Source organism: Homo sapiens, chromosome 3 (genome assembly GCF_000001405.40).
Source record: "Homo sapiens chromosome 3, GRCh38.p14 Primary Assembly".
NCBI lineage: Eukaryota > Metazoa > Chordata > Mammalia > Primates > Hominidae > Homo > Homo sapiens.
In genome coordinates, this window is record NC_000003.12 from 180411281 (window position 1) to 180428025 (window position 16745).

Sequence of the window (16745 nt, forward strand, 5' to 3'; positions counted from 1 at the left end):
ACATGTATTCTGTGTGCATATGGCTGAACTGCAGCCACATTTTGGCATAAGCATTTTACAGACATTATCTCTTTCCTCACTGCAACCCTTTCCTCATTGTTAGTAGACAGATGAGGAAATGGAGGATCAGAAAGTTACAAAATTATTCAAGTTCGCGCAATTACTAAGTAAGGATGTGCACCTGAATCAGCCTGGCTCTGAAGCCCATGCTATTTCTAACCCCCAGGTGGCCTCCATGGCAGGGTGCAGAATCAATTTTCAAGGAAATGTGACTGACTGGAAAAAAATGAGTCCTAGATTTTAAGAGAATCTTTTTTATATAATTTATCCCAAGGGGGAATGTAAAAGGGGACTTCTTACTTTGTGAGTGTGATAATGCCAGAAAAGGTTTTTTCCCCCCTATTCACTCATTCTACAGATATTTTTGAGCACCTATGATATGCTAGGTGCTGTATTCCCAATAAGGTTACAGCTGTAAGCTCCCACTATGGAAGCCACCCTAGTGCCAGACCCTTACTCAGGGCACATATTTAAAGCCACGAACATCCCTCCTTCCCTCAGAGCTCTGTTTAGGGAGACCAGAACTGCTTTACAGCACCAGGAGGGAGCAGGCATGGAGGAAAGGAAGCAGACTCACTTCTCTGAGGAATGAGGATCTCCTAACTAGTCTCCTTACCTCAGTTTATCCTCTTTTCCTATCTGTTTTTACTTCTTTCTGCTAGGATTTTGTTTCTAATACATATATTTCACTACTTACTCAACTGCTTTCCAGACCCCATATGAAGTTCATAGTCTTTAGCGTGGGTTCACGGCCCTTAGCTATCTGCCCTGACATCTCTCCTCCAACCTGTCCCTACTTCAGTTACACTGTAGTACTCCTCGTTTCCCCCAACAACTTGTGCATGCTGTTCTCATAGTGTTCTCCTTAGTCTTCCATTGCATGCATTTTTCAAATGTTTTTCAAATGTGAGGTCATCTAGGAAATCCTTCAGGATCCCTCTCTTCCTTTATGGAATCAATAATTCCTCTTTCCAATTCCATATAGCTATTGTGTCACACTTCTACCAAAGTACTTACCACATTGATTATATTAAATGGACAATACTGATCAGGAGAATTAGGGGAAATCCATGGCATGGAAGAATAAAAAGTTTCAGAATTAGAAGAGATGCAATGTGGAAAGTCAGTGAATTCAAAGGAACATGTATATATCAGGAACATCTTAGAGAAACACATCAAAAAAAGATTTTAAAGGGAGAAGCTGAGGCTGGGTGACGTGGCTCATGCCTGTAATCCTAGCAATTTGGGAGGTCAAGGTGGGTGGATCACATGAGGTCAGGAGTTCGAGACCAGCCTGGCCAACATGGTGAAACTCCATCTCTACTAAAAATAAAAAAATCAGCTGGGCATGGTGGTGGATGCCTGTAATCCCAGCTACTCAGGAAGCTGAGGCAGGAGAATCGTTGAACCCGGGAAGCAGAGGTTGCAGTGAGCCAAGATTGCACCACTGCACTCCAGCCTTGGTGACAGAGCGAGACTCCATCTCAAAAAAAAAAAACAAAAAAAACAAAGGAGAAGCTGAAGACTATTTATAAACATATTGCCAGGAGGTATCCTGACGTGCCCTGAGAACACTATCGGACCTCATGTTACAGACAGGGCTGAAATTCTCAAGGTCCACAGTCAGTCTCCTTGGTAATAGACTCCTTCACCATGTCATGGGCATCATAATGGGAAAAACCACTTGCAAATGAATTGGTAATCAGAGTTGGAGCTATATGTGATCTAGTTATCTTCACCTTTTAACAAAGGTCTGGAGAGATTTGAAGAGGTTTGTACCAAAAACAATGAGATCCTGAAGGATGAATATTAGATTATATATAATAAAAGGGCACACTTTGGTCTGCATATTCAAGATATTTTTGGGGAACATTGCATATCTGTTATTTCTCCATGTACATTTGTTGATGAGAATACTAAGTCAGGTATTTACTAATTACCAGGTATTTATTCAGCACCATGATATCTCACCTACTCTACTCATTAGTCCCACTGCCAGGAAAAATAATACTTAAACCAGAGTGTTGCTTAAGCATTTTACATAATTTCTTTTCTTACCACAACTGGAAATGGTGGAAGTCCATTCCCCTTGTGACCTAAGTTGGGTTGGGGACTGGAACCCACCACTTAAATTTCTCAAGAGGTCAAAAAATTGGCACATAGGCAAGGTGCAAGGTTGTTTCTGCAGAGACACTAGCAACACAACTTGACCTGCACTAAGGGAAATGCAGAGAAACTAGAATAGTGCCTGGCATAAAAAAATGCAGGGATAGACTAATGCCCATGATGGGGTGTTGGAAGGAGATGCAACATTTAAACCAGTAAACATTTGCTTTATTACAGAGACAGATCCAAAATAGAGAGAAACTTTCACAGCCCTAAAAAAATCTGGGGATATCCTCATGAATGAATAGAACTGGAGTTATCTTCAGAAGTGTGGAAAAAGATAAAGATGCCCAAGGTCCACGACCAAAAAGAGTCTACAAGCAAGGTGTGGTCAAAGTGATAAGAGTCTAAAAAGACCAAGGGAGAGAAGAAAACTTGCAGAGAACTAGCAGATCATCATAGTAAACTCTGCTCAGGCCATTTTGGTACTGGAAATGACAGAGAAGCCAGAAATGGTAGCCATGCCATGCCATGTCATGCCATTTTCAATGACAAAAGAAGGAAAGAGTTTTCCCTTTCTCTTCCTAGTCCCCAAGGAGAGCGGCTGTAAATAGTAGTATATTAGCTATGACAACTGGCAAATAGCTATGCTGTCCCTATGTCATGGCTGCTTCTGTGGGTACCATTGTGACCCCAGCATGAGTCAAGATGATTATCAGAATGTCTAGCAGATTACCCAGGCCTTGCACCTGGATCAATGGGCTGCCCTAATGAAGGATATCAAAAATGAAGGGGCAGCTAAAGAAAAATAAAAGACACCTCAGAAAGTAGCCTGCCTCTTTGACAAGGGACATGCCTTCAGAGGAACATAACAGAAACCTCTGAGAATTGTCAACAATAAAAAGACTGAGCAACAAGGGAAACTGGTAGGAAGCCAAAGGTTTTAAGAGGTGAGAGTGGAGAAATGCTGTGCTTTTATTGATCCTCTCCAAAGGAACACCTTTAAAAAAGGTTAGTTGCAAATAAAGTGTTTTAAAGAAGAAAAGTTTTGAAATTGTAAGTGCAGTGCTAGTTAGAAGACAAAATTTTAAACTTTTTAAAAAAATTTTTAATGTGTGTGGCTTAAATCTCTGTCCTTACAGATAACAAACTCTAGACTTTGAGATTCTGTGAGTTTATAGAAGAATGAAAGTCAACTGGATTCAAATTAATATTCAGGATTTCATTCCTCCTAAATGGAAACATAGCATTTCCATTTGTAAAACAATAACTAAATGTTTCTGAAACCTCTTTGCAAAACAAACAAGAGAGATTAGAATTTGGGCTATGCTTATAAGAATTGTTTAAGTTATATATTTTTTCATTTTTATGGACCATTGTAATTGATCTGTTGTTATAAATTGACTTATATTTTAAATCCTTATTTTTGTGTGTTTGGCTTAAGTTTGTTTTTAGAAAGTTAACCAGATTAAAGAGTAATAAAAATGGGTAATACAAGAAAATCATTGCATGACACTCTGTGTTTAACAATGATTATCTTATAAATGTCCTTCAAAGCTGAAGTTTTTGGGAAAAATCATTTAGGGAATATTTTGGAATCTTCCTTTGGAGTGTATAGAATCTGTGGCTCTGGCTGAGAATGGGTCCTGGTCAATCTTCTCACCATCTCTAATAAAATAATTTTAAAGAGATTTACAAGTAAAAAAAGGTTATTTCTTTGAAAATTTTAAACTATTAAAAATTTAAACCTTTAAATTTAAGGCTAAAGAAAGTAAAAGTGGTAGAAACTTAGATAAAATTAGATAGGTTAGGTTGCTTTTTAATTGAGGATTTCTTTAGCTCATTGTCCAAGTTGAATAGAGAAGTACTTTTTGGAAAGGGTAGAATAATTTGTATAATTTTTAAAGGAAGTTATGTGATTTATATAACCAACATGTAACACACATAGATAACACAGATAATGCTGTACTTTATAGCAGTTTCAAATATAGACTAGTACATATCAATATTCTCTGGTCAGGTTTCCAGAGATCAATTTAACCTGGTCTCCAGAAAAAAAAAATTAAGACAAGATGGACAATATAGTTTTAAAATTACATTTAAAAATAAATATTGAACTTCTTCCAATCTGGAAATCAAATTAACACAAACAATTCAATTACCATAATGGTGCAATGAGAAAATATGACTTAAATCAACTATGGAAGCTCACTCTGCATTGTCTGGATCTCAGATTCCTGCATTCTCTCAGTGGGAAAGGCTACACCTGAACTCAGATCCTCAGACTTGTGACTCTTTTCCCCAAGCAGAAGGGTGTGAAACTTCCCACAGGCTTCAAGTTCTCCAGATGCTGGGCAGCTGAATTTCACAGAAATCTGAAAATAGCTGCCATCTATACTCAGACTGTTTGGCACCCAAATAGTTTGTCCCTCTATGACCCCACTCCCAACTCATAAGATTGCTTTCAGGGGCCTCGTCTCTTGAATATAACCCTCCTACATATGGCCCTTTGCCCCAGATTGCTTTTCTGTAAGATGATGAGAGGACAGGGGTCTGTACTCCCCTTCATACTGGTTCCCACATCCTAAGTTTTTTAATAAAGCCTTTTCCTTAATGTGTACCAAGTGATGAAAACTTGACCTTTGCTACCTTGCATAACAATCCTCTAAGAACATTTTATATACAAAGAACAATTGGAGTCTATGGTAAAGGGGTCTATTCAGTAATCACATTGGCGTGAAAAGAATATAGATTACTTCCTTGCCATGACTTGCACTCATTATTCACAGATTCCATGGTTACAGATTCACCAACCTGTTAAAATTTATTTGTAACCACCAAACCAATACTCAAAGATGTGTTCATGGTTATTCACGGACATGCAGAGAATAGCAAAACATTGGAGTCCACTGACATTCATATGCCCAGCTGAAGCAGAACAAAGAAACCCTCTGTTTCCCTGTTTCAGCTCTCATACTGTAAACAAGTGTCCTTTCTGTGGTTTATTTAGTGCCACACTTTTCACATTGTTGTGATTTTTGCTGGTGACTTTGCTATTTACAATAGTCCCCAAGCATAGTGTTAGATTGCTGTCTAATGTTTCTAAGAGAAAGAAGGCTGTGATGTGCCTTATGGAGAAAATAGATGTGTCAGATAAGCTTCATTCAGGCATAAGTTATAGGACTGTTGGCCATGAATTCAGTGATAATGAATCAGCAACACAGGACACCTACAAAAAGAAATAGAAAATTTGCTGATCTGTTTATGAAACCACTCTGGAAGTGTTAAAGTAATATCTACAGTGAATGATGAAATTATGAAAAAGAGGAAAAGTAATTAAATTTGTGGATTCATGAGATGACAACCTATTTTTAAAAAACAAAGTGGACAACACTGTTGTGAGTCTGAAAGCCAAAGAAATTTATGATCATATTACCCAGAGTCAGGAAAGTGTTTAACCCTTCTTAGCTAGGTTGGCTGGCTCACATGTTTTAAAAGGCAATACAAAGTCAAAAAAGGCTAAGCTTGCAGACAAGGCGGGTTCCGCAGATCAGGAAGGTGCAGAAGAATTTTTAAAATAACTGCTAAATGTGATACAAGTAGAGGGTTATGTAGAAAAGCAGTTTTTCAATGCTGATTAGACTGGCTTGCTTTACAAGGACTCTGGCAAACAAATCTATATAATGCAAATGGCATTCCAGTTGGCAAAAATATTACGATCAGAGGCTCATAGGAACTTAACCTTACATTTTCCCTATGAGCAACAGTTCACTATTTGCTAATTCAATTGTTTGTGATGACTCTGTAGAACATTACTGACTCAAATAAAAAGAATAAACTATATCAAAGTCAGTGTAGTAGAGATGTGGTTTTCATTTAAATGCATAGTTGCTAAAATGGTTCTGCTGAGTTTAGCCTGTCTTTATGGAATAGGAGTATTTCATCAACCCTGAGATCTTTTGTCTCCCTCTTGGCTAATGGGTGTTTCTCAACCCTTTAACATTCAAAGGGAGCTGGGCCTATTGCTGCAATACAGGCAGTTAGTAGTAGTAAGTACTTTACTGAGGATAAGTAGATGCCCTTAACTAGTGAAACAATATGCTCAAATGAAAGTCTCCTGTGTGAAAAAATCTGAACACTATATACACATTCAAATTTTGGAGGAAACCCCAAAACTGCACACACACACAAGCATATATATGTACACACGTGTATACGTGTGTGTGTGTGTGTGTGTGTATATATATATGTACATGAGAGGTGACTGACATGTCCATGTTATTGGAAAAGATATATTAACAGAATACCACAGACTGGGTAATTTATAAATGGTAATCTGTAGGCTCACAGTTCTGGAAGCTGTGAAGTCCAATATTAAGGTACAGACAGGTTTGGCAATTCTGATTTCAAGATGGTGCCTTAATTGCTGTGTCCTCTGAAGGAGAGAAAAGCTTCATTCCCACGTAGTGGAAGGCAGAAAGGCAAAGAAGCAATAGGAGGTCAAGCTTGCCCCTTTTGTAATGGCATTAAACCCACCCAAGCAGGCAAAACCCTCATGGCTTATTGTTTCCTAAAGAGCCCACCTCTTAATGCTGGTATAATGGCAATTAAATTTCAACAAGAGTTTTGGAAGGGACAGCACCCCACACAAGGCAGAATGTAAGTACATGCAAACTGTATGCACACACCTCTTTATCTCTGGTCATAAGAGGTAGGAGAGGTCATTCCTCACCACTGCCTCCCCTACCTCCTGTAGAACCATGATATCCCACAAATTCAACATGGATATATTTAGTTATAAAATTTACAATCCATGGGGTTATAATGGAATATAATGCTTAGAGTCAACAAATATGTATATCCTTTTTCTAAACTACTTAACACTTATTAAAGTACACCAAACATAGTTTAATGAAAAGATAAAAGTCTTTCAGTTAGAAGGAAGTAGATTTAAATAATGGCTCCCTGATAAGGATTTTTACCAAGTTAAGAAATGTCTATTGATGTCAGTATTATCATCTCTAAAAGTATAGTACTACACTTCTACCTTTGGCTATGTTAAGCTTGAGATGCTCATTAGACATCCAATTTCATATATATATATATGTCTCCAATTAGATGGGTAAGCAACTGGAAGGTAAGCAACTAGAATTGTGAGTCTGAGATAAAGGGGTAGATCTGGGTTGGAGATACATTTGGATATTGTCAGAACATAGATAACAACACTATGGGACTTTTATGGCATCTCTTAAGCAATGACTGTGGATAGAGAAGAGGCCATAGGACAAAGCTGAGGTACTCTAATATTTAGGAGTTGGGAGGATAAAAGGAATTCAGCAAAAGAATCTTTTAAAAAAGCAGTCCATAGATAGAAATAAAACAAAATGTTAGTGATATCACATAAGGCAGGTGAATAATGGGTTTCAAAAAGGAACAACTGCCAATTGTGCCAAGTACTGATGAGAGGTTAAACAAAATGAGGACTAAAAAACTGATCTTTGTATTTGGATATGTACGGATCACTGGTGATGAGCCCTGGTGATTCTGACAAGAGCAATTTTGGTAGAATGTGGGAACAAATGCCAGATTGGATAGAAGAAGAATAAGATGGCAAGTATGGACAACTCTTTCAAGGAGTGTTTTGTAAAAGGCTGCAAAGAAATGAGGCAGAAGTAGGGTGAGGGCTGAAGGAAGGATTTTTTTTAAGATGAGAGATATAACAGTATAGCAATGATCTAAAAAGATCAACCCTGATAATGTAGGAGGCAAGGAGGACAACTGCAGAAATAAAGTACCTGAACTTTGTCAGGTTCTAGTAGTGGGCAGTTTGGGCTCTGGACAGGAGTAATGGCAGTTTATTCCTCATAATAGGAGGAAGGAAGAATGTTTGAAGACAAACACAGATACCTTGTTGATTTGGTGGTGGGCAGAGAGAAATTAAACTATGCTTGGTATACTTTATTAAGTATTAAGTAGTTTAGAAAAGGGATATACATATTTGTTAACTAAACATTAGTAGAAAATATAAATTCAAGTATGTCTGTTTGAAGTTAAAAGGTAATATGAAATTAAAAACTTTTTAAACCAGAGGGAAAAATAGTTCTCAGAAAGTTCATTCAGTTGACAAAAGACTAGAAAAGGTAAAAATAATGAACTGAGAGATGTGATATTAAACCCTCAACTCATTTCTGAGACTAGTATAATTCTGCTACCAAACTAGATGAAAGTCAACATAAGGAAAGACAAATATCATAAAAGTAGATGCAAACTTGAGACCAAATGTTAACAAATTGTATGCAGTCAGTAAAAGAATCATAAGGAATAGGCAGGCAGGATTTATCCCAGAAATACAAAGATAATTAAACATTACAAAACGTACCATGTAATCTATGATGTTAACCAACTGAAAAATAAAATTATGTAACAACTTAAATCATGTAAAATATGTAACAACTTAAATCATGTAAAATATGTAACAACTTAAATCAACTTAAATTACATATTTGTTATATAATTTTCTATTTGTTATACATTAAGTTGTCCTATATTAGGTTTTTGAAATACATATATATATATTTGATAGAAATCAAACACCGAAAGCATATTTTAAAACTTTTAGTAAACTAAGAATGGAAAGCAAACTTCTTGATTTTATATAGGGTAACCATCAGAAACTTTAGCAAACCATTTTTTACACTGAAACTCTAAAGGCATTGCATTAAAGCCAGGAATAAAACCAGGATGACACAGTCATTCAACTGTTCAACATTGTAATACAATCTCCAGCTAATGCAATAAGATCTGGAACAGGAAGGAGTGAATAAATAAATAAAGAAGTTGAAAAAGTATACGTATTGAAAAGGAATGGATAAAACTGTCAATTTTTACAGGCAATATTAAGAGTTAACCTAGGAAACACAAGAGAATCAACAGACAAACCTATTCACAATAGCAACAGAAACCACAAAGTACCTAGGAATAAACCTAACAGGAAAAGTACAAAATATTTATGAACAAAACTGAAAAAAATTTACTGAAATATGTAAAGAATGATTTGATAAGTAGAAATATATTGGTAGACAGAAAGATTCCTTTGGAAGGATATCAGTATTCCCAGGATTAACTTATAAATTCAATCCAGTCCAATCAAAATACCATAAGAGTTTTGGTTTTTGGCAAAATTTTTAAAATTCAAAATGAACAAGAAAAGTCATAATCATTTTTAATATAAATAAGAGAGATATCTGTCTATACCAGTTAGCCATTAAGACAAGTTCTAAAACCAAAGAAATTAATATAATACAGTAGTTTATAAGAACAAATCAGTAAACACAATAGGTCATCCTGAAGCAGAACCATGTATGTAAATGAAGAGATATTAAATAAGATAAAGGTGGTATCCCAAATCATGTTAGTTCCCAACCTTATAGTATTCTTCAAAAATGAGAGAAAAATATAAGTAAATATGTTATATTATACAGCAGTTAAAATGACTCATAGATGAGTAAGTATGAGTTCAAATATATCCTTTCTAAGACATATTGTGAAATCAAAGCAAGATGCAGACAAACACAGAAAAAGTGAAAAATTACAGATTTCTATGAATGCATTTTGGTCGGTGCAAAGAAAAAGATCTGGAAGGAATATACCAAAGGGATAACAACAACTTATTTCGAGAAGGAGGTACTGAATAAGAATTTAAAGATAGGAAAAAGAATCCTCCTCTCAAAAAATGTCCACATTCTAATCCCTGGAACCTATGAATATGTTAAGTTACATGGCAAAGGGGAATAAAGATTGCAGGTGGAATTAAGGTTGCTAATCAGCTGACTTTGAGATAGATTAATCTAGATTATCTGGTCTGCTCAGTGTATTTACAAAGGTCTTTTAAAGTGGAACAGGGAAGTACAAGAGGGAGGATGAGACAGATAGCAACATGAGAAGGATTTGACTCAATGTCGCTGGCTTCAAAGATGGAGTAAGGAGGAAGGAAGTTAAGAAATGTGGGCAGCTCCTACAAACTAGAAAAAGCAAGGAAATGGATTTGGTGCTGGAGTCTCCAAAAGGAATGCAGCTAACACCCTAGTTTTACCCGAGTGAGAGCTGTTTCAGCCTTTTGATCTCCAGAACTGTAAGATAATAAATTTTTAATGTTTAAGCCACTAAGTTTTTGTTAATTTGATATGGCAGCAAAAGGAAACTAATGCAAGTTGTTAAAAACAAAATAAAAACAATTTTCACCATGCTTACAATGCTTCAGTTTTTAAATATAAAAAAACTATGTATGTGTAATTTCAAATTGCTAAGACAAATGGAAAGGTAGTAGCTAGATGTCACCAGGCAGTACTCTTTCTGTTGTTATTATTGTCAGTTTCTGCTTATTTGTTTTGATTATTTGATACAGCATGATATAAATTGGCACTAATCCTCATAAGAGAAGAATGTCAGCCAAGCCAGTGAAGGAATTTTGGAGTTCGCTTTGAAGACTTATGCACTCTCCAGCTGGTCACAGACACTACACTCACCCATTTTGTAAATACACTTTTTTTTGTTTTGTTTTTTAAGCTTCTCACTTCAGTATCTACCAGACAGGCTTGTGCAAGGAGTGAACTAGTATTGTATCTGTTAATTTCTTTGCAGGCAAAAATCAAGTTACCAGGAAAATATTTTTTAAAAACCACGAACAGTCTAAGAGCACTGAACATTTTGAATCATTTGCCTTTTCTCAACACTGGATTTTAAGCAAGGAACAAGACTATTCCAGTTCTAAATGCTTTAATGAACAAGGGGTATTGGGTTTTAGCATCAACATGATCTATCCTCACTCTGAAGCTTTAACTTGAGTAGCTGCTGTGCTTTGTAAAGCTTCAATCCAATTCATTTGATAACTACAATTACCAAATCTGGGCATTGCTGACTACACAGTTCAAAAAAACAGCATGGAGGGAAGACCTGCTGAGAACCTTAGAATCTATCGATAAGCTCTTGAAATGGTTTAAAGTAATAAACCACTTCAATTGAAAGGGCAATAAAATGTTTTTCGTGTATATATGTACATAAGATTTCCTTCTATTTCTCTTATTTTCAAAAAGAACTTAAGAAAGGTCACAAATGTGCAGTTAGAAACCAGGTAAGTTACTAAAATGTAGGAGAGTGACAGATGTTACTATACCACTTCAAACAAATTAACAAAATTGGGAACACTATATTTACTCTGGATTTCCTAGCAGCTAAAATGAAAAGAAAAAAACTCGAATATATAATGACAGCATTAGAAATGTTCATTTCTGCCGGGCGCAGTGGTTCACGCCTGTAATCCCAGCACCTTGGGAGGCCGAGGCGGGCGGATCACGAGGTCAGGAGATCCAGACCATCCTGGCTAACACGGTGAAACCCCGTCTCTACTAAAAATACAAAAAATTAGCCGGGCGCGGTGGTGGGCGACTGTAGTCCCACCTACTCGGGAGGCTGAGGCGGGAGAATGGCGTGAACCCGGGAGGCGCAGCTTGCAGTGAGCTGAGATCGCACCACTGCACTCCAGGCTGGTCAAGAGAGCGAGACTCAGTCTCAAAAAAAAAAAAAAAAAAAAAAAAAAGAGATGTTCATTTCTATACAATCTTTTTATTACTTGATTACTTGATATAATAAGCCATACTAATCATTTTTCAGAAACGAAGTTTTGTTGGCACTAATGTTAAGGAAGAATTTGTGGCATATGTCTATAAATGAGAAATACTGGGTAAATTAATACGTACTTTTGTAAACCAAGTCCTTCTATAAAATTAAAAGCATACCTAATACTAAATCTGTAGTCCATGAAATTATTTCTCCAAACTGTTGAAATAATAATATATAGCTAAATAGCTTTCTGGAAACCTAATTTTAAAACAGATAGAGAAGGTAGACAACCTATAGTAATAACGAATTAGTTTGTTCACCAAAAAGTTTCTTTAAAACATAAGATTCACCAATTGGTTTTGAAAATTCATGGCTAAATTCCCGCATTAGTGCCTTAAGTGCCAATATTCTGTCTTGTGGACAAAACAGGGCTCCAGATATTTTAGGGAACAAGTATGAGGGACAAACAGTTCTTATTCATCTGTGGAAATGTATAGGCATAACTGATTGTAGACAAACTTCGACAGAAGCATACTGAAACTTTAGAAGTCATTATAGTAAGCATTAATAATTTTCTTTTAAAAATATTTTTTGGGCTGGGTGTGGTCGCTCACGCCTATAATCCCAGCACTTTGCGAGGCCAAGGCGGGCGGATCACCTGAGGTCAGGAGTTTGAGAGCAGCCTGGCCAACATGGGGAACACTGTCTCTACTAAAAATATAAAAATTAGCTGGGCGTGGTGGTGCGTGCCTGTAGTCCCAGCTACTCAGGAGGCTGAGGCACGAGAATAGCTTGAACCCGAGAGGCAGAGGCTGCAGTGAGCCAAGATCACGCCACTGCACTCCAGCCTGGGTGACAGTGAGACTCTGTCTCAAAAAAAAATAAAAATAAAAAATAAGTAAAAATTAATATATATACACACACATATAGTTCAAATACATATATTTGAAATTTCTTAAGTTTCTAATTTTTTTTTTTCTATTCTCACGTGGTAATTTTTTTATTATGGTCAAACATTTGGCATAAGATCTACCCTCTTAACATATGTTAAATGCACAATACAGTATTGTTAACTATAGGCACCATGTTGTACAGACAGCAGATCCCTAGAGCTTACTCAGCTTGCATAACTGAAACTTCATTTTTTAATTTTTATTTATTTATTTATTTTGAGATGGTATTTCACTCTTGTTGCCCAGGCTGGAGTGCAATGGCATGATCTCAGTTCACTGCAACTTCCACCCCCCAGGTTCAAGTGATTATTTTGCCTCAGCCTCCTGAGCAGCTGGGATTATAGGCACACACCACTGAGACTCCGTCTCAAAAAACAAAACAAAACAAAACAAAACAAAAACCAGAAAATTAGTGATTCAGAGATAAGAAAGTTTCACTATTTTTCTTATAACAACAATACTACTTGGTACCTGTGGCACTTCCTTCTTCCCCAGTGGCAGAAACTTTGTAAAGGCTGAGTATATATTTTTAAATGTCACACAATGCCCTGGGTGTGCTCCCCTCAGCCGTAATAAACTCCCTCTCCACACTACTACCTGCTTTTCCCACTAGCTTGGAACTATGGCTGAAGATAATTCTCCAGTACCTGCCTCCGTGATATTCTGCCCTGCGTCCTGCCCAGGACCCTTTCACAGCTGCAAGCTGTGTTACTTACTTATTCCTAATGGGACAGTCAGTCTCTAGCACAGTTCTGAATGTCTGAAGGAAGTCTACGGGAAGCATCGGGTCAATTTCCTGCCTCGGACTGCAAAACGGATCTGGACACATCTCCTATCACTTTGTGATACCCATTTTCTTTTTCTTCTTTTTTCTTTTTTTTAAATTTATTTATTTATTATTATTATTATACTTTAAGTTTTAGGGTACATGTGCACAATGTGCAGGTTAGTTACATATGTATACATGTGCCATGCTGGTGCGCTGCACCCACTAACTCATCATCTAGCATTAGGTATATCTCCCAATGCTATCCCTCCCTCCTCCTCCACCCCACAACAGTCCCCAGAGCGTGATGTTCCCCTTCCTGTGTCCATGTGTTCTCATTGTTCAATTCCCACCTATGAGTGAGAATATGCGGTGTTTGGTTTTTCGTTCTTGTGACAGTTTACTGAGAATGATGATTTCCAATTTCATCCATGTCCTTACAAAGGACGTGAACTCATCATTTTTTATGGCTGCATAGTACTCCATGGTGTATATGTGCCATATTTTCTTAATCCAGTCTATCATTGTTGGACATTTGGGTTGGTTCCAAGTCTTTGCTATTGTGAATAATGCTGCAATAAACATACATGTGCATGTGTCTTTATAGCAGCATGATTTATAGTCCTTTCGGTATATACCCAGTAATGGGATGGCTGGGTCAAATAGTATTTCTAGTTCTAAATCCCTGAGGAATCGCCACACTGACTTCCACAATGGTTGAACTAGTTTACAGTCCCACCAACAGTGTAAAAGTGTTCCTATTTCTCCACATCCTCTCCAGCACCTGTTGTTTCCTGACTTTTTAATGATCACCATTCTAACTGGTGTGAGATGGTATCTCATTGTGGTTTGGATTTGCATTTCTCTGATGGCCAGTGATGGTGAGCATTTTTTCATGTGTTTTTTGGCTGCATAAATATCTTCTTTTGAGAAGTGTCTGTTCATGTCCTTCGCCCACTTTTTGATGGGGTTGTTTGCTTTTTTCTTGTAAATTTGTTTGAGTTCATTGTAGATTCTGGATATTAGCCCTTTGTCAGATGAGTAGGTTGTGAAAATCTTCTCCCATTTTGTAGGTTGCCTGTTCACTCTGATGGTAGTTTCTTTTGCTGTGCAGAAGCTCTTTAGTTTAATTAGATCCCATTTGTCAATTTTTGCTTTTGTTGCCATTGCTTTTGGTGTTTTAGACATGAAGTCCTTTCCCATGCCTATGTCAAAAAAAGGCAGGGGCTGCAATCCTAGTCTCTGATAAAACAGATTTTAAACCAACAAAGATCAAAAGAGACAAAGAAGGCCATTGCATAATGGTAAAGGGATCAATTCAACAAGAACAGCTAACTATCCTAAATATATATGCACCCAATACAGGAGCACCCAGATTCATAAAGCAAGTTCTGAGTGACCTACAAAGAGACTTAGACTCCCACACATTAATAATGGGAGACTTTAACACCCCACTGTCAACATTAGACAGATCAATGAGACAGAAAGTTAACAAGGATACCCAGGAATTGAACTCAGCTCTGCACCAAGTGGACCTAACAGACATCTACAGAACTCTCCACCCCAAATCAACAGAATATACATTTTTTTCAGCACCACACCACACCTATTCCAAAGTTGACCACATACTTGGAAGTAAAGCTCTCCTCAGCTAATGTAAAAGAACAGAAATTATAACAAACTATCTCTCAGACCACAGTGCAATCAAACTAGAACTCAGGATTAAGAATCTCACTCAAAACCGCTCAACTACATGGAAACTGAACAACCTGCTCCTGAATGACTACTGGGTACATAACGAAATGAAGGCAGAAATAAAGATGTTCTTTGAAACCAACGAGAACAAAGACACAACATACCAGAATCTCTGGGACACATTCAAAGCAGTGTGTAGAGGGAAATTTATAGCACTAAATGCCCACAAGAGAAAGCACGAAAGATCCAAAATTGATACCCTAACATCACAACTAAAAGAACTAGAAAAGCAAGAGCAAACACATTCAAAAGCTAGCAGAAGGCAAGAAATAACTAAAATCAGAGCAGAACTGAAGGAAATAGAGACACAAAAAACCTTTCAAAAAATTAATGAATCCAGGAGCTGGTTTTTTGAAAGGATCAACAAAATTGATAGACCGCTAGCAAGACTAATAAAGAAAAAAAGAGAGAAGAATCAAATAGACGCAATAAAAAATGACAAAGGGGATATCACCACTGATCCCACAGAAATACAAACTACCATCAGAGTATACTACAAACACCTCTACGCAAATGAACTAGAAAATCTAGAAGAAATGGATAAATTCCTCGACACATACACTCTCCCAAGACTAAACCAGGAAGAAGTTGAATCTCTGAATAGACATAACAGGCTCTGAAATTGCGGCAATAATCAATAGCTTACCAAGCAAAAAGAGTCCAGGAGCAGATGGATTCACAGCCGAATTCTACCAGAGGTACAAGGAGGAACTGGTACCATTCCTTCTGAAACTATTCCAATCAATAGAAAAAGAAGGAATCCTCCCTAACTCATTTTATGAGGCCAGCATCATCCTGATACCAAAGCCGGGCAGAGACACAACCAAAAAAGAGAATTTTAGACCAATATGCTTGATGAACATTGATGCAAAAATCCTCAATAAAATACTGGCAAACCGAATCCAGCAGCACATCAAAAAGCTTATCCACCATGATCAAGTGGGCTTCATCCCTGAGATGCAAGGCTGGTTCAATATATGCAAATCAATAAACGTAATCCAGCATATAAACAGAACCAAAGACAAAAACCACATGATTATCTCAATAAATGCAGAAAAGGCTTTGACAAAATTCAACAACCCTTCATGCTAAAAACTCTCAATAAATTAGGTATTGATGGAACGTACTTCAAAATAATAAGAGCTATCTATGACAAACCCACAGCCAATATCATACTGAATGGGCAAAAACTGGAAGCATTCCCTTTGAAAACTGGCACAAGACAGGGATGCCCTCTCTCACCACTCCTATTCAACATAGTGTTGGAAGTTCTGGCCAGGGCAATTAGGCAGGAGAAAGAAATAAAGGGTATTCAATTAGGAAAAGAGGAAGTCAAATTATCCCTGTTTGCAGATGACATGATCGTATATCTAGAAAACCCCGTTGTCTCAGCCCAAAATCTCCTTAAGCTGATAAGCAACTTCAGCAAAGTCTCAGGATACAAAATCAATGTACAAAAATCACAAGCGTTCTTATACAACAACAAC

The 16745-nt window shown here is 37.1% G+C and overlaps 1 long non-coding RNA gene across 1 annotated transcript; it reads left to right on the plus strand.

Annotated features, from left to right (window-relative positions):
- Positions 1 to 2892: 2892 nt before the first annotated feature.
- Positions 2893 to 11221, plus strand: LINC02053 (long intergenic non-protein coding RNA 2053). The gene is made up of 2 exons (NR_132416.1): positions 2893 to 3177; positions 10571 to 11221. It is a non-coding gene; the product is annotated as a long intergenic non-protein coding RNA 2053 (long non-coding RNA).
- Positions 11222 to 16745: the final 5524 nt, after the last annotated feature.